Source organism: Homo sapiens, chromosome 2 (assembly GCF_000001405.40).
Source record: "Homo sapiens chromosome 2, GRCh38.p14 Primary Assembly".
In the NCBI taxonomy this organism is placed as follows: Eukaryota; Metazoa; Chordata; class Mammalia; order Primates; family Hominidae; genus Homo; species Homo sapiens.
This window is the reverse complement of record NC_000002.12, coordinates 61,327,926-61,348,991: the sequence shown is the minus strand read 5'-3', so window position 1 is coordinate 61,348,991 and position 21,066 is coordinate 61,327,926. Positions and strand designations below refer to the sequence as shown.

The window sequence follows — 21,066 nt, the reverse complement described above, 5'->3', positions numbered from 1 at the left end:
CATAAAGCTTTGGTAACTAGGTCAAGGAATCAAATGATAATGTCATTCTGTTAAGTCAATGTTAATATAAATTAGAAGTAAAAACAAAAAATGTATTTTATATAGGGTCACCTGCAGCTAGTCCTCAAAGCAGTGATAATAGCGATACACATCAAAGTGGAGGTAGTGACATTGAAATGGATGAGCAACTTATTAATAGAACCAAACATGTGCAACAACGACTTTCAGACACAGAGGTATGAAAATAGGTTTTTCTTCTTTTATAGGCATTTTTGGCTTTCTGGCGTGTTTATCATTTGAATTGGGTATATATACATAATTCATGTTTGGGCTTGTCCTCTCCTTTACGTAATATTTTTGACATCCTTTGAGTTTTTAATTCCATTTTGTATTGTTCAAAGGAGTATAACAAGACTGGCAGCCTTTTTAAAAAGTACAGTTTATTAATGTTGGTTACCTTTTTTCTTACTGGTTTAAATATTTATTTAAATCTATTTGTTTCAAAATACAGGAATCCATGCAGGGAAGTTCTGACGAAACTGCCAACAGTGGTGAAGATGGAAGCAGTGGTCCTGGTAGCAGTAGTGGGCATAGTGATGGATCTAGCAATGAGGTTAATTCTAGCCACGCAAGCCAGTCAGCTGGGAGCCCTGGCAGTGAGGTACAGTCAGAAGACATTGCAGATATTGAAGCCCTCAAAGAGGAAGATGAAGACGATGATCATGGTCATAATCCTCCCAAAAGCAGTTGTGGTACAGATCTTCGGAATAGAAAGTTAGAGAGTCAAGCAGGCATTTGCCTGGGGGACTCCCAAGGCATGTCAGAAAGAAATGGGACAAGCAGCGGAACAGGAAAGGACCTGGTTTTTAACACTGAATCATTGCCATCAGTAGATAATCGAATGCGAATGCTGGATGCTTGTTCACACTCTGAAGACCCAGAACATGATATTTCAGGGGAAATGAATGCTACTCATATAGCACAAGGGTCTCAGGAGTCTTGTATCACACGAACTGGGGACTTCCTTGGGGAGACTATTGGGAATGAATTATTTAATTGTCGACAATTTATTGGTCCACAGCATCACCACCACCACCACCACCATCACCACCACCACGATGGGTAAGCCTACTTCAAAATAAATATTCAGTTCATATTTCCTTTAGGGAAGTATTATATCCTATATTCAATTTGCAATTTATTCTGTATTAGTGCTATTCATTAGTAGTATAGTGCAAACTATAAATGTAAGCTACAAATAGATAATTTCAAGTTTTCTATTGGGCACATTTAAAAACACAAAATGAAGCAGGTTGTTGGCCATGCACAGTGGCTCACACCTATAATCCCAGCACTTTGGGAGGCCGAGGCAGGTGGATCACTTGAGGTCAGGAGTTTGAGACCAGCCTGAACAACATGGTGAAACCCCATCTCTACTAAAAATAGAAAAATTAGCCGGGCATGGTGGTGCACGCCTGTAATCCCAGCTACTTGGGAGGCTGAGGCAGGAGAATCACTTGAACCTGGGAGGTGGAGGTTGCAGTGAGCTGAGATCACACCACTGCACTCCATCCTGGGCAACAGAGTGAGACTCAAAAGCAAAACGTTGAACAACAACAATAAAAAACCAGGTTGTTAATTTTAATCATGTTAAACCAATAATATCCACAATGCCATTTACACATGTAATAAGTATAAAAATTACTAAGGTATTTCCTTCCTTTTTTTCTTACCAAGTCTTCAATATTTAGTGCATATTTTATACTTATAGCACTTTTCAATTTAGACCAGCCACCCTTTAATTCTTTAAAATATTTATTGATTTATTTGTTTTCTTCTTCTTTTTTTCTTTGAGACAGGGTCTCGCTCTGTTGCCCAGGCCGGAGTGCAGTGGCACGATCTAGGCTCACTGCAACCTCCACTTCCCAGGCTCAAACAATTCTTGTGCCTCAGCCTCCTGAGTAGCTGGAATTACAAGCACCCACCACCATGCCTGGCTACTTTTTTAGTATTTTTAGTAGAGATGGGGTTTCACCGTGTTGACCAGGCTGATCTTGAACTCCTGACCTCAGATGATCTGCCCGCCTCGGCCTCCCAAAGTGCTGGGATCACAGGTGTGAGCCACCAGGCCCGGCCTTTTTTTTTTTTTTTTTTTTTTTTGAGTTGGAATCTCACTCTGTCACCCAGGCTGGAGTGCAGTGGCACAATCTTGGCTCACTGCAACCTCCGTCTCCCAGGTTCAAGCGATTCTTCTGCTTCAGCCTACTGAGCAGCTGGGACTACAGGTGCCCCCCACCCCCCACCCATGCCTGGCTAATTTTTGTATTTTTAGTAGGATGGGGTTTCACCATATTGGCCAGGCTGGTCTTGAACTCCTGACCTTATGATTCGGCCTGCCAAAGTGCTAGGATTGCAGGCGTGAGCCACTGCACCTGGCCTTTTTTTTTTTTTTTTTTTTTTTTTTAAGAGATAGGGTCTCACTTTGTCACCTAGGCTGTAGTGCAGTGATGTGATCATAGCTCACCGTAGTCTCAAACTCTTGGGCTCAAGCAATCCTCCTGCCTCAGCTTTCTGAGCACTTGAGACTTAAGGTGTGTGTTGCCACTCCTAGCTAATTCTTAATTTTTTTTTTTTTTTTTTATAGAGACAGAGTATTGCTATGTTGCCCAGGCTGGTCTTGAACCCCAGACCTCAGTGCTTTTGCCGCAGCCTCCCAAAGCTCTGGGATTACAGGCGTAAGCTACTTATACCCAGCCTAGACCTACCATGTTTTATGTGTGTAATGGTCACATATGGCTAGTTGGTATTATATTGGATAACACAGGATTAGATTTTCAACATCTTGTAATAAATGCCTAAAAAAGATATGAGTGCTTATGGAAACTTTCCTAAATTGTGATTAAGAAAGGGAAATTTTACACATCTAATTTTAGGGTATTTAAAAGGGTAAGCTCCAGCATAAAACTTTTTGGTTATCTGTGAAATATACCAAATAATGTGATTCTGTCACTTAGTGGTGGTATTATGATGGGCAAAATAATTAATTTTTCTTCATTTTTTCAATCTATAAAATGGGAACAATAATCCTAGTGCTTTGGAGGCTAAGGCAGGAGGATCGTTTGAGGCCAGGAGCTTGAGATCAGCCTGAGCAACTTAGTGGGGCCCTGTCTCTACAAAAATATTAAAAACACTAGCCAGGCATGGTATCACACACCTGTAGTTCTAGATAATTGGGAGGCTGAGGTGGAAGGATCGCTTGAGTCCAGGAGATCAAGACTGCAGTGAGTGGTGATTGCACCACTACACTTCAGCCTGGGCAATAGAATGAGACTCTGTCTCTAAAAATAAAATGGGCACAATAGTATCTATCTCATGGTTTTATTGTGAGGATTTCCTGGGCTAACTAATGTGATTGGTGCACAATAAGTGCTCGATAAGTGTTAGCTGTATATTTATCATTGTCGTTACGAGTGATACTATGTGAGTTTATGGTGAATCATGGGTATGCCCTTTATCAGATTGAGTTTTGCTATACTCGACAATTTGCCAGATCTTCCAGAATGCAATTAAGTTGTTAGGGTGAACTCTACATATCTATACATATTACTTCTTTATTTCCTTTGCTTTTTAATTCTTAGCACTGATGCATCTGAGATTAAGGAAGTGTTTTTCAAGATTGGCATTTTGGGCCAGATAATTACAATTTTTTTTTTTTTTTTAAACACAGTCACACTCTGTTGTTCAGGCTGGAGTGCAGTGGCACGATCCTGGCTCACTGCAGCCTCCACCTTTTGGGTTCAAGTGGTTCTCCTGCCTCAGCCTCCCGAGTAGCTGTGATTATGGGTATGCACCACCATGCCCCAGCTAATTTTTGTATTTTTAGTAGAGACGGGGTTTCACCATGTTGGCCAGGCTGGTCTTGAGCTGCTGACCTCAAATGATCCGCCTGCCTCGGCCTCCCAAAGTGCTGGGATTACAGGTGTGAGCCACCATGCCCAGCCTTGGGCCAGAACATTTTTTTTTTATTTGAATGTATAGCAATGCTAATGTTGCCCTGTGCATTGCAGAATGTTTGCCACTATACTGAGCCTTATCTCTAGATTCCACTAGCATCTCCTCAGTTTTGACAACCAAAAATATCTCTAGATATTTCCAGATTTCCCCCAGGGGCCTAAATTCACCCCTGATTGGGAACCACTGGCTCACTATCTTGCATTATAGATACAAACATTCACAGTTGTCCCCAGCACAGCTCATGATGAAGACAAAGCAGTTAAAAAACTGAGGTGCAATATATTCAGTTTGGTACACTGCAAATCTTAGTTTTGACACCTATACCCATTCCATACCTCACAAGACCTAATGATTTAATTTTTCATTTTAGCTCTTTTCATATTCTGTGTATTAATGGTACTACTTGTGAGTCTCTAAATCAACCCTGAACTTCATGTTATTTTTCGATTTTTTAAATCATTTTGTCTTTATGTCCGGTAACAATGTGTTTTAGAAATGAATACTTAATTTGGGTTTGTTTGGTTAGAAGTTCCCCAGTTAATATTAAGTCCATCAAGACTGCAGCCTTAAATTGAAATGTTTTTTTGGTTTGATTCTACAGTTGTAAAAAACCACACTTTTTATGGTTTCACATTTTATAGACTTTGAGTATAAAATAATATGTAAACAGTGAGTATTAGTGATCTTGCCTAAAATTGTTCTTTGAATTTGTTTTAATGAGGTGTCTTAATAGGCCTGGTAATATGACTGTATATTGTAAAATTATTTAATAATTCTGACAGTGTGAAGTTTTCAGTTTCGTAAAGCTCTCAACATTCCATATTGTTAATAAGCAGATGTCGGTTTGTTTCTAAGTGTATTTGTAAGTTTAAGAGAGGTATTTTTTGTGGTTCACAAATTAGATTCACATTCGTAATTACTAACTTTGTGCTTTTCTCTGTTTTGTAGGCATATGGTTGATGATATGCTAAGTGCAGATGATGTCAGTTGTAGTAGCTCCCAGGTTAGTGCAAAATCAGAAAAAAATATGGCTGATTTTGATGGTGAAGAATCTGGATGTGAAGAGGAGCTAGTTCAGATTAATTCACATGCGGAACTGACATCTCACCTCCAACAACATCTTCCCAATTTAGCTTCCATTTACCATGAACATCTTAGTCAAGGTAAGACTCTACAGTAAGTAAAATATATTACCTTCTTCACAACAGGAATAATTTATCTTACTTTGTTGAAAGGACTCAATAGTTAAGGTTATGGTACTTAAATGTTTTTGTCAAAATAACTTACATATGGTAGTTTTTTTTTTTCCCCCAAGGGAATTAAATTATTATAAATAGTCCATCATGAATATAAATAAGTCCTGCAGTTCTATTGAGATATTCAGCGGGGAAAGAAAATATATAGCAATAATATGTAATAATTAAAGCTCTATATTTTAGAAAATATATGGTTGTATTAGAATTTATACTCAGAAATCCTAGGACCTAAAAGTATAGGAAATCACAAAAGATAAAATTGTATGATTCCATTTATATGATATGTCTAGAATAGGCAAATCTGCAGGCAGAAGGTTAGTGGTTGCTTGGGGTTAGGGAAGGGTAGGAGGGAATAAGGAGGGGCGAGTGTGAGAAATGATTGTTCAAGTCTAAATCACTCTTAAAGTAATAGGACATGACCAGACTTGAAAGAATGGAGGATGGAGGAAGGTAAAGAGTAGTAGGGAATTAATGAGTAAAGCAAGAAAAAATAAGAAAGTGAAAAACAGTTTTAGAATTGGCAGTTTAAAGGCCTTAAACCTCTTGTTTGGTTGGTATCATCAACATATGCTGGCCTAGTAAATGGGTTTTGGATAGCCAGTACATTATAAGTAAACCGGATGGATTACGTTTATGCAAAGAGGCCATAAACACACTTAGAAACACAACTTGTGGACCTTGGCAACAATTTACTGATTTGTATGTGTTTTTTGTACATGATCTGTCTAGGTTAAGTTACTTTGACTTATTTTATTGTTGTGCTGTTGTGGTTGTTGAGAAAGGAATAGGTTAGATTGAGGTCATCTGACTGAATGTGATGCCATATTTGTAAATTGTTACCATTCTTTTCTCAAATTTTCCTTTAATCAATATTTTACCTATTTTTTACTGCGTGGAGTTAGAAATTGAACAAAATGGTTTTCTTTTCACAACCCATTGTAGACAGAATAAAATGATAGTATATGTTAATGCTTTCCAAATCTACCTTGTTTTACAATGTTTTTAGTACTAGAAGACCTCCTCCAACAGAGTAAGACAGTCAGTTTAAAAATGGGCAAAAGTGTTGATCAGATACTACATAAAAGATGATACATAGAAATGGTCAATAAGGGCTGGGCATGGTGGCTCACACCTATAATCCCAGCACTTTGGAAGGCTGAGGTGGGCAGATCACTTGAGGTCAGGAGTTCGAGACTAGTCTAGCCAACGTGGTGAAACCCCATCCCTACTAAAAATACAAAAAAAAAAAATAAATTAGCTGCGTATGGTGGTGCTCACCTGTAGTCCCAGCTACTTGGGAGGCTGAAGCAGGAGAATCGCTTGAACCCAGGCTGTGGAGGTTGCAGTGAGCCGAGATCACGCCACTGCACTCCAGCCTGGATGACAGAGTGAGACTCCGTCTTAAAAAAAAAAAAAAAAAAAAAAGGAAACGGCCAGTAAGTACACTCTCAGTGTCTCTTGTCATCTAGTAAATATAAGTTAAAACCACAGTGAGGCACTACTACATACCTATTGAAATGAGTAAAATTAAGGACTGATACTATCAAGGATTGACATTAGAATGTGGAGCTGGAACTGTCATAACTTGCTGTTGAACATAAAATATAATCACTTTGGAGAACTGTGTGTTAGTCCATTATTGTGTTGCTATAAAGAAATCGCCTGGTGCGGTGGCTCACATCTGTAATCCCAGAACTTTGGGAGGCCGAGACAGGTGGATCATCTGAGGTCAGCATCTCGAGGCCAGCCTGGCCAACATGGTGAAACCCCGTTGGTACTAAAAATACAAAAATCAGCTGGGTGTGATGGCGGGCACCTGTCGTCCCAGCTACTCGGGACGCTGAGGCAGGAGAATCACTTGAACCTGAGAGGCGGGGAGGTTGCAGTGAGCCAAGATCATACCACTCCACTCCAGCCTGGGCAACACAGCGAGACTGCATCTCAAAAAAAAAAAAAAAAAAAAAAAGAAAGACCTGAGTCTGGGTAGTTTATAAACAAAAGTGGTTTATTTTGGCTCACAGTTGTGCAGGTTGTGCAAGAAGCATAGTGCCAGCATCTGCTTCTGGTGAGGGCCACAGGAAGCTTACAATCATGGTAGAATGTGAAGGGGGAGCAGGGGTCTCATGGCAGAAGTGGAAACGGGGGGTTGGAGGGGTGTCACTCTCTTCTAAACAACCAGATCTTATCTGAACTCAATGTAAGAATTCACACTATGGTGAGGACAGCATGAAGACATTCATGAGGGATCTGCTCTCTTGACCCAAACGCCTTCTACTAGACTCACCTCCAACACTGGAGGTCACATTTCAACATGAGATTTGGAGGGGACAAAACATTCAAACTGTATCAAACTGCTTTATCACAAAGTTAAATATATACCTACCATATGACCCAGCAGTTTTTTTGCCTTAGGTTTTTACTCAAGAGAAGTGAAAACATGTCTGTGAAAAGATTTGTTCATGTGTGCTGCTTTATTCAGAAGGCCTTCCAACTGGAATTAACTGATAAATTCACATAGTGGAATTTTGCTCATCAGTAGAAAGGAAAGAACTACAGACACATCCAACATCATGGATGAATATTGAAAACATCATTCTGAGCAAAAGAAGCTAGAAATAGAAGAAAGTACATACTGTGTATTACTTATGTGCAGTTCTAGAACAGTCAAAAGTAATTTGTAAGGAAAGAAAGCTCCTCAATCATTGCCTAGGGCTTGAGGGTGGGGACTGATTGTAAAGGATCACAAGGGAACTTCCTAGGGTGATAGAAACGTTCTCCATCTTGATTATATATGTATTTCGATAAAATTATGAAAGCGAAATACCAAAACAGTCCCCCCACCCATCCAAAAAAAAAAAAAAAAGACAAGCCACAGACTAGAAGAAATATTTGAAAATTATATATCTATGAAATGGATTGTATTTGGAATATAAAATAATTTCATAACTCAATAGTAAGACAACCCAATTAAAAGAGTGGCAAATTACTTATTTCACCAAAGAGGTATACACATGGCTAATAAGCATACGAAAAGATTCTCATCATTAGTCATTAGGGAAATGGAAATTAAAAACCTCAATGAGATTCTACCACATACCTTAATAGGTATGTGAAATTAAAAATAGGTATGTGAAATTAAGAGTGACAGTACTACGGTGTTAGGGAGAATATGGAAGAAAGGGACTGATGCTCTCATACACTGCTGATGGGAATGTAAAAGGGCACAGCCTCTTTGGAAATCTTTTCAGCAGTTTTCTTTTAAACATACATAATACCTTATGACTCAGTGATGTCAATCCTAGTATTTACCCAAGAGAAAGGAAAGGAAATGATGCAAAACTTGTTACACAGATGTTTATGGTAGTTTTGTTAATAATAGCGTAAAACTAGAAACTATCCAAATGTCCTATAACTGGTGAGTGTCTAAACAAAATGTAGTATTTCTATAAAAGAGTCTTTTAATTTGAATGTTAAGGGTAAATTATCTCCAATAAAAATAGTGTTAAGTTTTTTTTTAAATATAGGGATTATAAAAGATTATATAGGTCATTTAGAGGTATGTCTGTTTAAATAATTATTTCAAATATGTTGTCTTATTCACACTTAGTTTCAAGTATTTATGTACAGTTCTCTTGATGTGAAAATATTAATCACTATAGATAGCAAAGAGACTGTAGAAAGGAAACGATTTCACTTTAGCCTTATCAAATCTAAATGGCACTATTCTTCTCTCCTCATAAGTATTGTGCCATGCTGGGTGCAGTGGCTTACACTTGTAATCCCAACACTTAGGGAGGCTGAGGAAGGAGATTACTGGAGGCCACAAGTTCAAGACCAGCCTGGCCAACATAGCGAGACTCAGTCTCTATTTAAAAAAAAAACAAAAACAAAACAAAACAAAATATTGTGCTAATGTGTTTTTATTTTATGATCTGAGAAAAATATCGTGTACTTTTCTTTGGATTTGCTAACCATATGAATGCTATAATCAGTCAGCTGCATTTCTCTATAGTGTGTCTTTTTTTTTTTTTTCTCTTCAGGACCTGTAGTTCATAAACATCAATTCAACAGTAATGCTGTTACAGACATTAATTTGGATAATGTTTGCAAGAAAGGAAATACTTTGTTGTGGGATATAGTCCAAGATGAAGATGCAGTAAGTTATTTAATAGAACCAGAAGAGTAAGAAATTTCAGCAAGATGCAATTAGGATAAATAGTAATTTTATATACATTTTTTATAGGTTAATCTTTCTGAAGGATTAATAAATGAAGCAGAGAAACTTCTTTGTTCGTTAGTATGTTGGTTTACAGATAGACAAATTCGAATGAGATTCATTGAAGGTTGCCTTGAAAACTTGGGAAACAACAGGTAAAGAGGAATTTAAAAATTTTTAATGCAGTAGTCAAAGTATTTGGGTGTGGGGGGACATTCTTGTTGACTAGGTGTGATGTTTTTATACTGTTTCATATACCTGTATTAATCTGTTTTTTAGTAATTATAGTTTTCATATGAAATTTAGAGGTTTCTTCTTAACATGGTTCATATTTTAGCACTCAGTGTTGCTCTTTTCAGCACCTTTCACCATTCTTTGTTAGATCCACCCAACAGAAACAAAAAAATAACAATACTATCTTTTTGATTCTGGGGACACCTTGGTGATTACTCTGTTTTCAAATTGCAGTTAAATGTTCTTGAACTGTCTCATAAAGGATGCTAAATAAGTTAAGTGAAATTTTACTTAAGCTACAACATAAACACTTTGATATTAGTATTGTTCTTCCATTTAGATGTATCTTTTAATGTCTCAGCATTTGTAGTGCATAAAAGACTAGGTTAGTAACTCATCAAGTTGTATATATTAGATATGTACAGTTCTTTTGTCATACCTCAAAAGTCTTTTTTTGTTTTTTGGTTTTTGTTTTTAAACAGATTAGTGTTTTTTTCTCTTGTTTGAATTCTGCCTCATATTTATGTACTTCTCATTGGGACTCAGTTGATGACACATTTCTTGGTTTTCAGTGTTCTTCCATGGATACAGTTTCATGTTTCCCTTGACCTATACTGCTTTGATAGTGTTCCATTCTCTAATGTAGTGAAAACACAATTCTGGTGTGTATGTTGACAGTTCAGTTATTAATATATTGTTTTCTGCTCACATCTGTGTAGGCCTGCTATGATTGTCTAATTTTACCAAATAAGTGCTTGAAAATATTTTTTTCCCCTATTGAATTTTAAAAGTACATGCTATATTTTATTTTCTTTTTTTGGTTCTTTAAAGGGCAATACGTTGAGCAGTTACAGTAGAAAAATTCATTGTTCATGCACATATAAGAAACCACTAGTAGAACTTTGTAAATGAATCAGTTGCCTCCTTTGGTATTCATTCTTTGTTTTTTTGGACATGGAGTCTTGCTCCATCGCCCAGGCTGGAGTCCAGTCGTGTGATCTTGGCTTACTGCAACCTCTGCCTCCCGCATTCAAGCGATTCTCCCACCTCAGCCTCCTGAGTAGCTGGGATTACAGGCACCTGCCATCATGGCTGGCTAATTTTTGTACTTTCATAGAGATGGAGTTTCACCATGTTGGCCAGGCTGGTCTTCAACTCCTCACCTCAGGTGATCCTCCTGCCTTGGCTTCTCAAAGTGCTGGGATTACAGGCGTGAGTCACTGTGCCTGGCCGGTATATATTCTTTGAAAATAATTCTTTTAATGGCTGGATGATATGTCATCATTTACATAGGTTTTATAACAGTTAATTGTAAAATGTTAATTTTCTTTTAAAAGTCTTTGTGAAAACACAAATTTTAATAAGTGGTTCAATAATTTGTACTCTCCATATGTGCATCTGCATACCCTCTGACCCAGTAATTCCTCTTCTAAGTATATGCCTAACAAAATATACCCTGGTGATCACCCAAAGGCAGAGTCAAGAATGCTAACAGCAGCCCTATTGAAAATAACTAGGCCGGGCGCAGTAGCTAATGGCTGTAATCCCAGCACTTTGGGAGGCCAAGGTAGGTGGATTGCATGAGTCCAGGACTGAGACCAGCATGGGCAATGTGGTAAAACCTCGCCTCTACAAAAAATACAAATAAAAGTATCCAGATGTGGTGGTGTGTGCCTGTAGTCCCAGCTACTTGGGAGGCTGAGGTAGGAGGATTGCTTGTGCCTGGGGAGGTTCAGGCTGCAGTGAGTCGTGATCACGTCACTGCACTCCAGCCCTGAGCAACAGAGTGAGACCTTGTCTCTAAATAAATAAATAAATAACATAACATAACTACGTATTCTTTGCATAGCTATTCAAATGCAAAAAAAAAAAGTAGAAAGGATAATTGTGGACTATTCATTGAAATACTATATAGCAGTAACATTGAATGAACAGTGAACAACTACATGGAACAACTTGGTTGAATTTCACAAACACAATGTTGCAAGAAAGAAGCCAGACACAAAAACATTATGTATCTCTATTATTTTATTTATATCATGTAAAAACAGGTGAGTTCTTGTATTTAGTAGACTGGGTAATAGCTACCCTGAGTGGTTGGAATGGGACACAGTAGAGGCTCCTGGAATGCTGATACTGATTCGTTTCTTGATTTGGTTGCTGGTTACATAGATGTGTTTACCTCAGTATTTTGAGCTGTGCGCTTAGATCTGTGCCCTCTTTTGTATGTATGTTTATTATACTTCAATAGAAAGAGAAAACTGTATGAAAGATTAAATATCATGCAGCCATTAAGGGTCCTATTTTCAAAGATTATATAATGATTTAGGCAAATAATTGCAGGCCTAACCGTTAAAAAGAAAAGATTGTAAGAAATAAGTCAGAGTGTAATCTCTACAATGCAGTTATTTTTGGGAGGATTGAGGTTTTTTGTTTTGCTTTTTTTTTTTTTTTTTTTTTTTGAGATGGAGTCTCAGTCAGTTTCTCAGGCTGGAGTGCAGTGACATGATCTTGGCTGACGACAGCCTCTGCCTCCCGGGTTCAAGTGATTCTCCTGCCTCAACCTCCCAAGTAGCTGGGAATGTAGGTGTGCACCACCACGCCCAGCTAACTTTTGTATTTTTAGGTGAGATGGGGTTTTGCCACGTTGGCCAGGCTGGTCTCGAACTCCCGACCTCAAGTGATCTGCTTGCCCTGACCTCTCAAAGTGCTGGGATTATAGGCGTGAGCCACTGCACCCAGCTTGAGGTTTTTTTTTTTTCTCTTTGTGCCTATTTGTTACTCAGTTTTCCTAAAATGAGTACATACTTCTTTTATAGGTAGGAAAATTAAAAAGATCCAAAAGGGACCAGGTACAGTGTCTCACGCGTGTAAGTCCAACACTTTGAGAGGGTGAGATGGGGCATCTATTGAGCCCAGTAGTTTGAGACCAGCCTTGGAAACATAGGAAGACCCCATCTCTACAGAAAAACTTTAAAATTAGCTGGGCATGGTGGCCCGTACCTGTAGTTACAGCTACTTGGGAGGCTGAGGTGGGAAGTCAAGGCTGCAGTGAGCCAAGATCGCACCACTGCACTCCAGCCTGAGCAACACAGTGAGACTTTGTCTCAAAAAAAAAAAAAAAATTGTGCGGACACACACACACACACACAATTTGTTTTGCTTCCCTAGAGACTATATTATATATGGCATTTCACGTTAACTTTTGATATACGCTGTAATTTTAAATGACTATTTTGTAGAATATACTTCTTTAAAATATGGAGTCCTAGATTAGGCAAAATCATCCATATGTAACTTCAGCTGTGAAGACCAACAGTGAATGTCTCTGTTCTAAGATAACAAAAAGCTGCCTTAGTAATTCTTACAGGACTACCACACTGTTGCATAGTCATAAGCTTTTGGTTACAACACAAACTCTTGGAATAAATCAAACAACTAGTGCAATTCAGTATAATAGGATTATTCTTGAGTCTAAAATTAGTGTATTATTACTCTGGATCATTGAACCTTTATCTTCTCTTTGAGACAGTCTCACTGTGTCACCCAGGCCCAAGTGCAGTGGTGCAATCTCAGCTCACTGTAACCTCCGCCTCCCAGGCTCAAGCGAGTCTCCCACCTCAGCCTGCTGAGGAGGTGGGACTACAGGCATGTGCCATCATGGGTGGCTAATTTTTTGTATTTTTTTGTGGAGACCGGGTCTCACTGTGTTTCCCTGGCTGGTCTCAAACTCCTGGGCTCAGTCTGCTCACCTTGACTTCCCAAAGTGTTGGGATTACAGGCATGAACCATTATGCGTTGGCCATTGAGCCTTTGTGGTTGCCCATTGAATCTTTTTATCTTAACCACATTGTTGCCTAGGATTATGTGTTTTGGTATTTGAAATTTTCAGTCTTGAAAGAATTTGTGAAATGTAAGTTTGACTATAACACTTCCCTTTTATGCTTTTGTTAGTTTTGTAAGCATATCAGTAGTCAGAACTACTTGGGCAAAAAAGTTGATAAGTCATTATAACATCTCATAGTCATTATAGGAGAAATTCTACAATTTAATCTTTATTGGAACGAGTTTTATATTTGATTTTGTAAAGTTTCCTTTTTCATTGAAACATAAATTATTATCACCAGGCCAAAATTATCTTTCCCATTCTGTGTTTTATTAATTTATAGTCTAAAAGCAGTACTTTCTGTCATTTAAAAACAAATTTTATCAGTTTTAATAAAATGTTTTAGTGCTTTGGGATGACTTTGACTCTGTCTGGTCATTATAGCACTTAAAATGTGTGTCTTTGTTCTTTGGAATTTGATTCTTTTAAATGGGAGAAAAGTTGGAAGTTTTTAGATAATCTTAGGAAAAACTCTTAAAAATCTTTAGCCATGTATAATGTAATTATTCCTCAATAATTCAGCACTTATAAATTCTGGAGAAAAGCATTCCTTTAGGGTAGGAGTAGAAGGAAGATGAGTCTTATTTCTACATTCCTACTTTTGGTTTGTGTCTTTCATGAACCACACCATTATTCACTGAACTCAGTCAATAACCACTTAATGCCTGGCGTCTTATTTCTCTAACGTCAAACATATACTTGCTTCCACATTGCATTTTATAAATGAAAACATGTTTATTGAAGAAAATTCAGGAAGTGAATAAAATTTACTTCCTAAATTTGTGAAAAATTTTTTCATGAAGCAGTATTGGCTTCTAAGATTAAAATAAGTTTAGTTCTTCATTAGAATTTGTTTTGCCTCTTTTAAGGCTCATGCAGCCAACCTCCTTTCCTACTTCCAGGATTTCTATGTCAGTATCTGTCCTGTACCTGTTCCTTTCAGAGGATAGGCAGACTCAGATCTACTTGAAGTTTTAAAGTAATTTCCTTTCCCCTTTCTGCTCCTTATACTTTTGAGGTATGTGGTGTGCTTCCATTAGTGACGTGGTTCATAAGGTCATGATTCTCAATTTGAATGCAAATCATATTGAGAATTTAGGAGAAAATGGTAATGACTTATGAAGAAATAGTTTCATTTAAGAAACATCTTTAAATGCTCTTCACTTGCTTTTTTACCCAGATATTTATAGTGTGTTTTACCTTAAAGATCTTGGATTGGAATTTTTTAAACTTGCAGTTCTTGCCCTAATATGTAAAATGAATTTATACTTCTGAGAAAAAAAGTTTAATGTTTGTGTAATAATATGTCTCTATGCAAGATTCATTAAATCTTTTAGCATTTAAAATTTTAAATGGCTGAATTTCTATAAAAAGAATTACTAAAATTATTTTGTGAATGTTTCTGCTGTTTCAGATCAGTAGTAATTTCACTTCGTCTTCTTCCAAAACTATTTGGTACTTTTCAGCAGTTTGGGAGCAGTTACGATACACACTGGATAACAATGTAAGTAAATAAAAGAAAAAAGTATTTATTTTAAAGATTTTTTTCTAATTATAGTTATCTAAAGGTTTTGACTAACCTACAAGCTTTTACTCTGTACCAGGAAAATTTGAGTTTCATGTGGTTTGTTTTCTTAGATTTTTCTGCCACTTACCCCTGTAGAGATTATATCCTGATCAGTAGGAAAATCTGTGTTTTGTTTTCTTTGGAGTTTGAGAACAGTACTTTAGCAATTAATACTCTAATTTTAGGGAGATTTTTAGCGTATGCAGCTACAGCAGAGTACTTTTGAAGAAGAGCCACACTAAAGTAAACTCTGGCATGCCTTTAATTTTTCCCATTTCTAGGAATTGGCTGTAGACCTAATGTCATGTTTGGGGTAATCTTGACACTACCTTATTACAGGTTGAGTATGCCTAATCTGAAAAATCTAAAATCTGAAATGCTCCATAATCCAACATTTTTGGAGCATCAGTAGGACACTCAAAGGAAATATTCATTGGAGCATTTTGGAATTTGGATTTTTGGATTAGTTATGTTCAACTGCTATGCATTCTGCGAATATTACGGAATCTGAAAAAATTTGAAACACTTCTGGTCTCCAGCATTTTGGATAAGGGATATTCAACTAGTTACTCCATTTATGGAGAACTTATGATTAATGAATGTTACAATAATTCTTCCAGAGGTAGAACTTTTATGTGAAATCGACCCCATGTTTTGGTAATAAGTCTAGAGAAAGTTGTCTACCACAAACAATACATTAAGAAGATGTGTTGTATGCTTTATTCTAAATAAGCTTTTGGAGAGATTTCGGAGACATTTGAATTTTAGGGAAAATTCGACTTGTTGAAGGATTCATTTGTGAGATCAAGTTCTCAATTCTAAGCTTAGGTGGTAAGAACACTTGCTTGCTTTCACAGTGGAGTATCACTTTTATAGTTCTTGGAAGTCTGCACTATAATTCCAGATTAGATGAAGTTAATTCTTCTGAGTCATATACCTTGCTTCTAATTGTTCTTTTAAAGGGAATATGTTTAATCTGGACCTTTATTATTATTTAGAAGTATCTTAGTCTCTTTCTTTGGTTAATACTACAGTAAGAATCCAGTGAAGGTTCTGTTTTTGCAAGGAAGGTCCTTCAGCTTCCAAAAGGAGGGGTAAGGGAAAGCATTTAACATCACTGAAGAACAAGAATAGTGTGAGCCATTTTTCATTGCCTCTTTCTATAATTTTTAAGTGGCTGAATTTCAAAATTCTAATGCAGTAAAGGCAGTCATTTGGTGCTAACACGGGCGAGCAGGTGTCATTATAGTCAGTGGAGGTGGTTCATATTAAGGAGTAACTTTCTTGTATAGAAGGGGCAGTCTCTGAATATTCAGTTACTTAATCAAGTACCCGAACCTAAATATATTGAGTTGAAACTCTTTTAGCTTGTTCCTTAAATTAAATGTAAATAAGCTTAATTAAGGAAAATTCACAGGGTTTCCATTACCACAAGAGATTGGTATCCTAAATCTCATAAACTACATCACTTAAAAGAACTCCTGTGGTTATTTGACATCAGTAACAACAAAAGCTGTCATTTATTGTGAGTCTAGTATGTATAGCAGCACTTAATATTTAGTACATATTATCTCTTAAACTCGTTCTAATGGCCCATAGTTTAAAATTGGAAACTTACCCTTGATTCTTCTAATAAACCTTCAAGCAAACAGACTTCCACAAGACAGCTTACTTGCCTGAAGCTGTGTTGTAGCAAGTGTATTGGAGCTGCCTTCAAACCCAAAGTCTTTTTCTTTCTACCACTTGACCTTTATTTAGTGAATAGCAAGGTGAAAGTAACTTCTGTTTAAAATATGGCTATAACAGAAACACGATGTAAATTACATGGAACTTAGAGAATTTTAATACTTCTACATCTGTACATTTTAGCAGATAAATTGCTAATAGGTGTTATATGAAATACATTATGTTAATTATGGAAGTTATGGACCCTGGGATCTCTGAATGTATATGCCACTATTTGTGTTTTCATTGTAGTATTTCTACATTATTTTGGAACTCAGTGCTGGGTATTTCTTTGATTTTTTTAAAAAAAATTTTGTTCAAAAATATAAGCAAATTAATGACAAAAGATATATGCAGTAAGTTTATTGTATGCCTTCTGTATGCCAGATATTGTGCTAAGTAATGACCAAAGCACATAGTATATTCTTATATGAAAGGGTATCATATTACTTTTAATATTAACTCAAATTAGTCATTGATAATAGTACTTTCACAGGCATTTTGAGATTAAAAACTTACAAAGGTACTTTAAATTCATAAAAATGAAGGAACATTGCTTTATATCTTTTCACCATTCAAATATAAATAAAACGTGTATATTTTTCGTAACTAAAATTTTACATTTGAAGATTTTTTTTAGATTTGCATATTTACTGTCATAGCATAGATTTATTCTCTTACCCTGCCCACTTTAAAATTATTTTTTCTTTTATTTGGGCCAGGTGGGCAGAAAAAGAACTGAACATGATGAAGCTTTTCTTTGATAATTTGGTATACTACATTCAAACTGTGAGAGAAGGAAGACAAAAACATGCACTGTAAGTACCTCTCAACTGGGTTAAATACATTTGTGTCGATGTCTTTCCTTTGAAAGATGATTTTCCAGTGTTTTAACTTTTTTTCATATAATAAGTAATTGTAACAGAAAACTTTATTTGTATAAAATTATGAAAAGGCTGCTAGAACTTTTTAAGCTGAAAGATTCTTAGGAGGTTACTCTTAAATTCTTAGGTAAATGTAGCTGGCTCACTTTTGGGGGTTGGTTAACCTTCACTATTGAGATTTGTTCAAAGATAACTGTTTTTAAGGAATCAAAAGTAAATACATTTTTTCAGAAACCATAGATATGCTTGTTTTAACAGTTTAGAGCATTGATTCTAAAATTTGTAAATATTTACTTCAAAAATAATTAACAGTTAATTTAAAACATTTTATTATAATTGCATACTAGTATTAGAAAGTTTAGGACGTGTGGAAGGTTTTAAAACTGGTGGTATATCATTAATATTTTCTCATTACATCAAAATATTCTCTGGATATATTCAAGTGATTTGGGACAAGAATTGGTAGAAATGGATTGGTGGTGGTATAGCTGTATTTGAAGCTTCTTTAAGGAGATGCATAGGAGATTCAGAAGATTTCTGCTGGTGAGCTGATTGTTATGGACCGATGTCCATGTTGAGGAAACCAGTTCAATGCCACTACTGGCATATTAATGAAGAAGAGGAGGAGTCACACTGTGATTGAAAAAATCACATAGAAAACTTCCACAAAGGTGGAAACTAAGCAGACTGTAGAAGTGTTCGGAAAAGTCATAGACCTTTAAGGCATGCATACTTCTAAAAATAAATTTACTTATTTCCCTGCACAAATCAGTTACTTCTCTAGATTTTATTTTTACTGTGTCCTTTAGGGTGCAGCTATCCTCCCACTTGCCTAAAACTTGAGACTTGAGGCATTTTTGTACTCTTATTTCCAAACATGAATAATGATGACGATGAGAAAAAAGCCAGTGTTAGTTGATATTTACCATTGTGTCAGATATCAACTATTTTAAGATATACAACAACCCATTTGAGACCGTTTTACTTTAGAAATGAGTATACTGAAGCTATATGATATGACAACTTGTCCAACGTCACACACAAAGAATAGAGCGAGCTTCTGTACCGACAGTCTGTTTCTGTTATAGAATTTGTATTTGTAAATGCTACATTATACTGCCATTAATCTCTACCTTTTTGTTAAAATATACCCCATGTCTTTTCACAAGTTGACATTTCCGCAAACACTACTTTTGTCCTTATAACCACCTCTAGTTTAGTCTCCTTGCCTCAGTCTTCCCATATGCTGGTTCATTCTTTCTATCTGTCAAATTAGGAAGGCAGTATGGTACTGTTGGGAAGCCCATGGGCTTGAGAATCATGCAGACCTAGCTCTAGGTTATTAATCTATTATTTTAACCTTATTTCAATTATTTACCCTTCTAATTCCAATTATTTACCTTATAAGTGTTTATAAGAATTTAATGAAATGATACAATGAATTGTACCTGGCACATAGGTTATCTACAAATTGTAGTTACCTGGTTAAAACAAATAATATAGCATATGAAATATACAAGAATTCTGTCTCTTAACCACATCCAGAGATTCTTCATGGCATAAAAAATAAAATACCAATCTCTTCAGCTTAGTATTCTGGACTGTCTATGAACTCAACTCAACCTTTCCAGTTTTATAATTTTTTTTGACAGTTTATTCTACAAGCTTATCAAATTATTTCTGGGGTATTTCTATTTACTGTATTCCATAGCTTTGCTTACAAAGTTCCCTCTATACAGGATGTATTATTTTAAAATTATATTAAAATTCTAACTGTTATTCCAAGTCAGTATCCTTCTTTTTTCCTATTGAAGCAGAGTTTGACGATAATGGTGGCCTCTTGAATCCAAACATTACATTTATGCTCTATAAAAATCATAGGATCACCAGGCATGGTGGCTCATGGCTGTAATCCCAACACTTTGGGAGGCTGAGGCAGGCAGATCACCTGAGGTTGGGAGTTCCGGACCAGCCTGACCAACATGGAGAAACGTCGTCTTTACTAAAAATACAAAAAAAAAAAAGGCAGGCGTGGTGGCGCATGCCTGTAATCTCAGCTACTCAGGCGGCTGAGGCAGGAGAACCACTTGAACCCAGGAGGTGGAGGTTGCAGTGAGCCGAGCTCGCACCACTGCACTTCAGCCTGGGCAACAAGAGTGAAACTCCGTCTCAAAAACAAAACAAACAAAAATCATAGGATCAACAAAGAGCAGAAATAAAACCACACATGGCCCACATTTTTATTAGGAGATGGGGAGTTAATTACTTGTCAGCAAAGAAATAAACACTAGGTTATAAAAGAGCTCCCACCACAGCTGTAAGCCTGTGGACTTGAAGAGCAGGACTTGAGAGGCATAGTGAAAGGGAAATGGAAGTCATAAAGTGAATCATCCTCGTAAAGAGAAAGTCCAACGTTAAGTATCAAAAAGGAACATAGGTCTGAGACTTAGTTGTTCACTGCATTGACAACAGTGAAGTTACTCACTTTGTTAGTGGAATCAGAGGTGAGCAAAGCATTGCTTCTGTGGTGAAAAAGGAGTAGGGCTCCTTGGAGATGTGTTTTTAGGGTATACTAGAATAATCTTTCCAACCTTTCAATCTGCCTTGTTGGCTGCCATCCTAGGAGAATAAAACTCTTAGAACAGAGAGATGTTGTCTGGACTATTTTGATACAATTTCCCTATTCCTTCAGGCTGTAAAACAAGTGTACATTTGCTACTCTTTGTTCATGCATACTTATTTCAGTATTTTTTTTCCAGTGGAGATTAAAATAGGAAAGTTCTGAAATTTTTCACCGAGGGGGGAAAAAGATTCTTGTAGCATGAAAGATGATATTTTTATTTTTTCATTTTGTAATTTTTGTTTTTTGATTTTATATTATTTTTTTTTCACTTTATTTTTTTTTTTTTGACGGAGTTTTTGCTCTTTTGCCCAGGCTGGAGTGCAATGTCGTGATCTCAGCTCACTGTAACCTCCACCTCCTGGGTTTAAGTGATTCTCGTGCCTCAGCCTCCCGAGTAGCTGGGAATCCAGGTGCCTGCCACTGCACCCGGCTCGTTTTCGCTTTTTAGTAGAGACAAGGTTTCGCCATGTTGGCCAGGCTGGTCTCGAACTCTTGACCTCAGGCGATCCACCCGCCTCCGCCTCCGCCTCCCAAAGTGCTAGGATTACAGGCATGAGCCACTGCACCTGTAGTATGTTCTTAAAAGGACATATTACGTGTTTCCTGAATCCAGTGCCCTCTAGAGAATATCTTGTCTGTGGAGGCTACAAAGAGATTTTCT

The 21,066-nt window shown here is 36.8% G+C and overlaps 1 protein-coding gene across 1 annotated transcript in view; it reads left to right on the top strand.

Moving 5' to 3' along the window:
• Positions 1–21,066, top strand: part of USP34 (ubiquitin specific peptidase 34) — a 283,625-nt gene that overhangs the window by 122,096 nt on the left and 140,463 nt on the right. Inside the window, exons 14-20 of the mRNA NM_014709.4 lie at positions 106–236; positions 512–1,122; positions 4,963–5,177; positions 9,311–9,426; positions 9,514–9,641; positions 15,021–15,110; positions 17,621–17,716. Of these exons, the coding sequence (NP_055524.3) occupies positions 106–236; positions 512–1,122; positions 4,963–5,177; positions 9,311–9,426; positions 9,514–9,641; positions 15,021–15,110; positions 17,621–17,716 (1,387 nt within the window). The remainder of the gene's footprint in view (positions 1–105; positions 237–511; positions 1,123–4,962; positions 5,178–9,310; positions 9,427–9,513; positions 9,642–15,020; positions 15,111–17,620; positions 17,717–21,066) is intronic.